This window comes from Homo sapiens, chromosome 7 (genome assembly GCF_000001405.40).
Source record: "Homo sapiens chromosome 7, GRCh38.p14 Primary Assembly".
NCBI classification, from domain to species: Eukaryota; Metazoa; Chordata; class Mammalia; order Primates; family Hominidae; genus Homo; species Homo sapiens.
This window is the reverse complement of record NC_000007.14, coordinates 97,282,334-97,289,313: the sequence shown is the minus strand read 5'-3', so window position 1 is coordinate 97,289,313 and position 6,980 is coordinate 97,282,334. Positions and strand designations below refer to the sequence as shown.

At 36.2% G+C, this 6,980-nt stretch overlaps 1 long non-coding RNA gene across 1 annotated transcript; it reads left to right on the top strand.

Annotated features, from left to right (window-relative positions):
* The first annotated feature begins 209 nt into the window (after positions 1-209).
* Positions 210-5,139, top strand: LOC107986826 (uncharacterized). Its single transcript, XR_001745292.1, has 3 exons — positions 210-271; positions 2,107-2,196; positions 4,988-5,139. It is a non-coding gene; the product is annotated as an uncharacterized LOC107986826 (long non-coding RNA).
* Positions 5,140-6,980: the final 1,841 nt, after the last annotated feature.

Sequence of the window (6,980 nt, the reverse complement as noted above, 5' to 3'; positions counted from 1 at the left end):
AAAAAGAATAAACAATAAAGTAATATATTTTTAAAGTAAAAATATTATTTAGAGTATGTTTTAGAGGAGTCAGCAGTATTGTTCTATCAAAAATGCTCTTAGTAAATATCATTATATTTTCAATTCTCATCTCTTCCCAGCCTGTTTTGTGAATCTCCATTTTTGCTGTGTCTTCTGATTTTTTCACTAGCTCTTACTTGTATTCTCTATCACTTTAGTCTAACAGCTTCAAATTTAATTAACTGCTGATTGTTCCTGAAGATATGCTAAGGTAAGGGTTTCTACAACTTTTTTTTTTTTTTTTTTTTTCAGTTTGCTGAGTGAATGAGAACTGGCTGTTATGGTTCCTCAGTTCCTGGGTAACTGTGAAATCTCAAAAGCTTTAGTAGCAGTACACTATTAACAGCTAATATTTTTAACGCCAAGACTATGTGCCATCTCAAAAATTATGTGAGAGTTTATTTTATGAGGCTTAGCAAAATTAACTTGCCCAAGTTCACACATCCAGTCAATGTCAGATATGAGACTTAAACCCAGAGATGTCCAGCTCTAAAGTTTACGAGAGAAAACATCAATGTGTCTGTTATTTATTGATATTGCCGTAACACACAATTTACTCCTGTAAAAGCATGTGAAATGCATTCTGTTTTTCATATTGTTAATTTCAGCTGAAATAACACTTTTATATATATATGTTACAGAATAGGGGATATTTGCAGCCAGAAGGAATAACTTCCTACTCCCTAACATTGTGTTTTAACTGTTATAACCTATTATTGTTTCCAAAACTCTTCTGATTTCTTTATTCTCTTTTTTTGCTGCTCTGATCCTTAGATTTGCTCAGGTGATTATCAGAATTTCAAAATTATATCACTAAAGCTTTTATAATGCTTAAGAAAGACAGAAGTATATGTCTCAATCTTTTCAAGCTGCTATGACAAAAGATCATAAATTGGGTGGCTTATAAACAACAGATACTTATTTTTCACAGGTCTAGGGACTGGGAAGTCCAAGATCAAGACACCAGCATTGGGTATCTGGTGAGGACTCACTTCCTAGATGGCCATCTTTTCACTGTAGCCTCACCTGGCAAAGGTGTGAGGGATTTCTTTCAGGCCTCTTTTATAAGAGCAGTAATCACATTCATGAGGCCTCTGCCTCCTATAACCTAATCACACCCAAAGACATCACCCCCCACCTCCTAATACCATCCCCTTAAGGATAGGATTTCAACATATTAATCTGGCAGGAGAAACAATAATTCAGACCTTAGCAGATAAAATAAATTAAGTAATGTAGAATGAAAAAGAAAAATTTTTTTTCTTTTTTTCTTTTTTCTTTTTTTTGACAGAGTCTTGCTCTATTGCCTATGCTGGAGTGCAGTGGTACGATCTCCGCTCCCTTCAACCTCCACCTCCCACGTTCAAGCAATTCTCCTGCCTCAGCCTCCCAAGTAGCTGGAATTACAGGTGCCCACCACCATGCCCGGCTAATTTTTTGTGTTTTTAGTAGAGATGGGGTTTCTCCATGTTGGCCAGGGTAGTCTCGAACTCCTGACCTCAGGTGATCCACCCACCTCAGCCTCCCAAAGTGCTGGGACTGCAGGCATGAGCCACCTCACCCAGCCTAGATGTTTTCCTTAAAAATCTCAATATTCTAGACCAAATGTTATTCATAAAATAATACTCCAGGGAATTAGGGGAAAATAAATTATACAGTGATTACTTAGACTGAGTGATCTATATATATTATGCCCCATTTATATTGTATAAACAAACAATTTTTAAGAGCTATTTGGGTTTCCAAGACTAAGTAATTAAAATGGCAATTGTCATAATACTGTTACTTATTAATCTAATAAATGATTATCCCACTTGGCACTCCAAATATGTCAAATTGAAAATAGCTTCCTGGCCAAATAAGAATATATACAACTTTCACTAAAATGATTACAAAAGTATATTTTTTCATAGCATTAAAGTAAGTATCATATATATTTCTAACCTGAATAATGTACAAAGATAAATTGTTCTGATAATATTACTGGCCTCAAGTTGTATAACCAGCCAAAGCCTCTGATACTTAGTATCTCTATTGCTTTCCTAGAGATCAAGATTCCAAAAAAATCCAAAGAACGGGGTTTACAGAAGAAGACTGAGTATTGTCTGACCTCAAGCTTACGGGATGCCAGAACAGGTAAGTGAATTTGTAAAAATAAATAACAGGCTTGGTATTTCTAGAAAGAAATAATAAACAACAACACCTAGTTCAATGTGGTAAGGGGAAGATATTTTTTAAATGATAGGACATATCTGAGACTCGATAGTTAAAAAATGAAAATAAAAATACATGATGTGGTAAAACTGGCTTTCCAGTTTGAAAAAAGAAAGAAATAGAACATTCTATTTTCTCACATCTTTCTCCAAAATAATTTCCAGGTAGATAAAAAAATCACAAGAAAAAACAGCTTATGGATAAACATTAGTATATATTGGAGGAAGGTCTTCCTTACCATGAGATACCATGTCAAATCCAAAAGAAAAATATTGTTGAATTTAACTCCCAGAAGTGATTTAAAATTAATAAATAAATAATTAAAATAATAATAATAGGCAAAGCTAAAAGTAAAAAAATAAATCTGTATATTTGCATTAATATGATAGAGGATTAGCTCCAATAAAAATGGTTTCAATAATAGATGGACTGGACAGTAAAAAAAAAAAAAAAAAAAGATACTAACAGGCAGTTTCAAATAATTAGAAATGCAAATGGTTAAAAATCACATGAAATGATAGAAATGCAACTTCAGACTTGAGGATGCTGTTTTTCACTTATCATATTAGTAAGTATCTTACAAAACATTAAAAATATCCTGAATTCATAAGGGCATGATGAGACAGGGTTCCCACATGCTATTGATAAGAATATGAATAGGTACAACCAGATTTGTAGGGTAAGTAGGCAGTATCAACTAAAAGTTTAAGTGTGCATATCGTTTAACCCAACAATTCTACTTCTAGGTATTTATCCTAAAATGTTTACAGTATAAATATGTAATGTGTAATGACCATGTATCTAGTCCAGCAATTTGATTGCAGCATTATATGCAAAGCAAATGTGTAAACTAATCTAAACATACATACTTAGGAGATTGCTTAGATAAGCTATTGTACATATAGCTTTTTAAAAATTGAGTAATTTTATATATATTACCATAGAAAAATATCCGTGATAATTTAAGTGAAAAAAAGTAAGTGAAAAGTAATGTTTTAAGTGAAAAAAGCAAGCCGTAGACTAACATGTCTAGTACATTTGTTTAGAATAATCCTATCTATAACATGTTTATATATGTGTGTATATTATGTATAATTTTATGTATGTATCTATGTTACACAATATTGAATTTGTTATAGAATTATATATTTATTATTACAATTGATAATAGAATAGATGGATGGATAGATAGATCAATAGATCTGATTTTCTTCCTCTTCGTCTCCTATTTCCATTTCTCACTTCTTTGGTAAGGTATCCTTTCTTATTTAGAATGGTGACACTTCAAAGCTATGCTAGAGAGCTGGTTAATATGAGCAAGAGAAAGGTGTGTAAAAGCTTCCATTGTGAAAAACCGAAAAGGTCCCCCAAGGAGGACCTCCCAGGACCTTCCAGGAGAGAGCCAGGCACCAGTGTCATTACCTTGAGAGCCTTCCAGAAGGGAGGGAGTCCTCCATAGTCTGGGACAGACAGGGAAGTATCTGGAGTGGGGAGTGGAGAAGGAAAGAAACTGGAATGAGAAAGGCCTTCCAAAGTCCATTGCAGGCAGACTCTGAATGGACTAAGGGCAACAACTTGAGAAAAATGAAGAATTACTTTGTAGTTGTTTGTTCCATATTCTATTTGTATTATCAGTGGACGAATAGTAAGAGAGTTATCTTTCTTCCTCTTTCTGGTAATGGAGTATACCTCACACTTTTCCAGATGTTGTTACAGGAAGCACTAGGGATATTTATCAGAAGATTCTGAGATTATGCTCTGAATTGTTAAATCCTAGGAAACAGAATGGGGATGAATGTAAAACATTTTTCTACTTCATTCAGTTCTAAATTTTTCAGTTTTTTAGAATTAAAACATAAATTACTAGAAAAAAACTATTATCAATCTTTTTTTCTGTTCCTGTTTTTCCTTAGGCAAAGCATCTCAGAAAGATAAAGATTTGGTTTCCACCATTTAATTATTTTCATTCATCTTTAGTAGAAGAGGATGTAGGAATCAACACATATTTATAAAGCATGTGTTATGTGAATATAGCATTCTGCTCTAGAACATGAAGAAAAAAAAAGATGTTGAGCTTTGATTTTGGGAAACCAGACTACACACATGAAAAGTGATTAATGTAAAGCAGAAGTTACATACCTAGAAATAGTAAGCTTTATGGGTGATAAGATATGACGTGAAGTAACTACGGTCAGAGAGAGAGATTCATATAACCAAGAAAAAGATAGTCAAGTCACTACTCTAAGCCAAAATCCATTAGTAAGCTTTGAGTATGTGGTGTCAGCAATGTGTTTAGAAGTTAGCTAACAGAGACTGAAAGAATTATGAGAAAACATGAGTCTAAATTGGAGGCATGTGAAGAGCCTTGAGAAAGCTCTTCTCTTCATAGAATCATAAACTTTAGCACTAGCAGAAATCTGATAAATCAGCCTCTTCATTTTATACGTGTAAGTAAGTGAGGCCTGGGGAGGATCAAATAACCAGCGAAAGGTCTGTAGTCCGTGAATTAAGGCTGGAATCCAGACCTATTGGCTTGCTACCATTCACAAGAATTACATTCTTTAAGTTATGATTTTGGGTTCTTATTGTCTATCAATAAAACTAATGTTCAAATATATGTTCTTTTTTAAAGCCTTTTAAAGTATTTTAAAGTCTTTGAGTGCCTATCCATGAAATCTAGGAAGCCATAGATGATCATTCTATGCTTTTTTAGAACAAGATTACTGAGAATGCAACTGAATTTTAGAGACTACCAGTCACCAAGTAAGTTGCTCAGGCACTACTGAGATTATCCCGATAACATTTGGATGTTCAGGAGGGTCTTGGTTAGCACCAGTGCCTATCCCTGCTTCTGCTGAGGATTTTAGCCACAGGTAGGCAAAGATCCCCAAGGTGATAGCAACAGTTTGAAATACACCATTTATGGCTGTCCAGGCAATCTTTCAAGCAGATTAAAATTGAGTCTGTCACTGGTTTTAATGGCATAGATTTAGTACCTTTCAGAAAGTCTTTTACTGAAGTGTTTGAAAATTGGAGACACTATCAAATCACATTTCTATTTTATACTCACAACCTTTCGAGAATTTATAGAAATGCTTTATTTTATGGGATTAAATGACTTAATGTATAATGTACATGGAAAATATTGCTTTGAATTGTCTTTCACAGAGTTTAGAAACTATTATGAAAAAATGACCTGCTAGTCAAATATTAAATGGTAATGTTTTCCTTCATAATTATTATGCACTGGGGTAGTGCTAAAATTACTAATTAATGGCTGTATTAGGCAGGGTCCAATTAGAACACAGAAACTACAGAGTAATTTGAACAGGCAAAGTTTAACATAAAATTTAATACACAGAATTATTCACTGTAACAGGGGATGGAAGAATTAGCTAGTGAGAAGTAAAGAGAATGCTCAAGAATATAAGAATAGCAGTTGTAGGAGCAGCTACTGCCCTTAGGGCTGAGACATAGCATTTAAAGAAGAGACAGATCTGGGAAAGACTCCTTCCAGAGATCCGTCCCCCATTAGAAAGAGCACAGCCATGGTTCGGTGGATGGCAGAGAAGTCTGCTGAGGCTTTGTTTGCTGCTGGTGTATTGGGGAACGCTGTTCACAGGGGTTGCAAGGCTGGCAGCACTCTGCCGCAAGGCCTCCTGTGCAGATGCCAGGGGCAGTCACCCACAAAGAAAGTCCAGGTGACGTTGGCCCCTGGCTGCTGCTGTAGCCTGGCATGGCAGAAAAAGAGCCCACAACAGCAGCCTGCCCAGAAGAAGACACTGCTGCCAGGAAGAGAAAAGTCATTTCTCCTCCAGCATCCCTTGGGCACTCTTCTGACAAAGCTTGACAGCTGGCCAGCTGGCAAAGGAGAAATATTTTCAGGGTCCCGCTGCACTGCTCCAGTGCATAAAATGAAGGGCAAAATTGGGCTGAGGTGCAGTCAATTGATCAGCAGCACAACTGTTCAGTTGGGTTCTGAAAAACAGTTCTGGTTATCTGTTGTATTAGTCAGGGTTCTCTAGAGGGACAGAAGTCATAGGATAGATGTATACATAAAGGGGAGTTTATTAAGGAGTATTAACTCACATGATCACAAGGTCCCACAATAGGCTGTCTGCAAGCTGAGGAGCAAGGAAGCCAATCTGAGTCCCAAAGCTGAAGAACCTGGAGTCTGATATTCGAGGGCAGGAAGCATCCAGCAGAGGAAAAAATGTAGGCTAAGCCAGTCTAGTCTTTTCACGTTCTTTTGCCTACTTTTTATTCTGGCCACGTTGGCAGTTGATAAGATTGTGCCCACCCAGATTAAGGGTGGGTCTGCCTTTCCCAGCCCACTGACTCAAATGTTAATCTCCTTTGGCAACACCCTCACAGACACACCCAGGATCAATACTTTGCATCCTTCAGTCCAATCAAGTTGACACTCAGTATTAACCATCACATCTGTATTCTTCAATTTTATCTCTGTTAAAATGACAACTCCTGTTTAACTGATATTAGTTGTGGGTATGGAGGGTAAGTAAATATCTCCTTTTCACCTCACTCATGTTTCATGGGGAGGAACTTCCTCTCTCCACTGCTTCATCTGGGAGTGGTGTATCTGATTGACCAGTTTGGGAGGATAAACAGGAACATTTGGCTCAGTGGCTTCCTCCTGCTCTTGCCAAGCCAGCCTGCCTTCAGGATGTGTACTTGTTTCATCACCA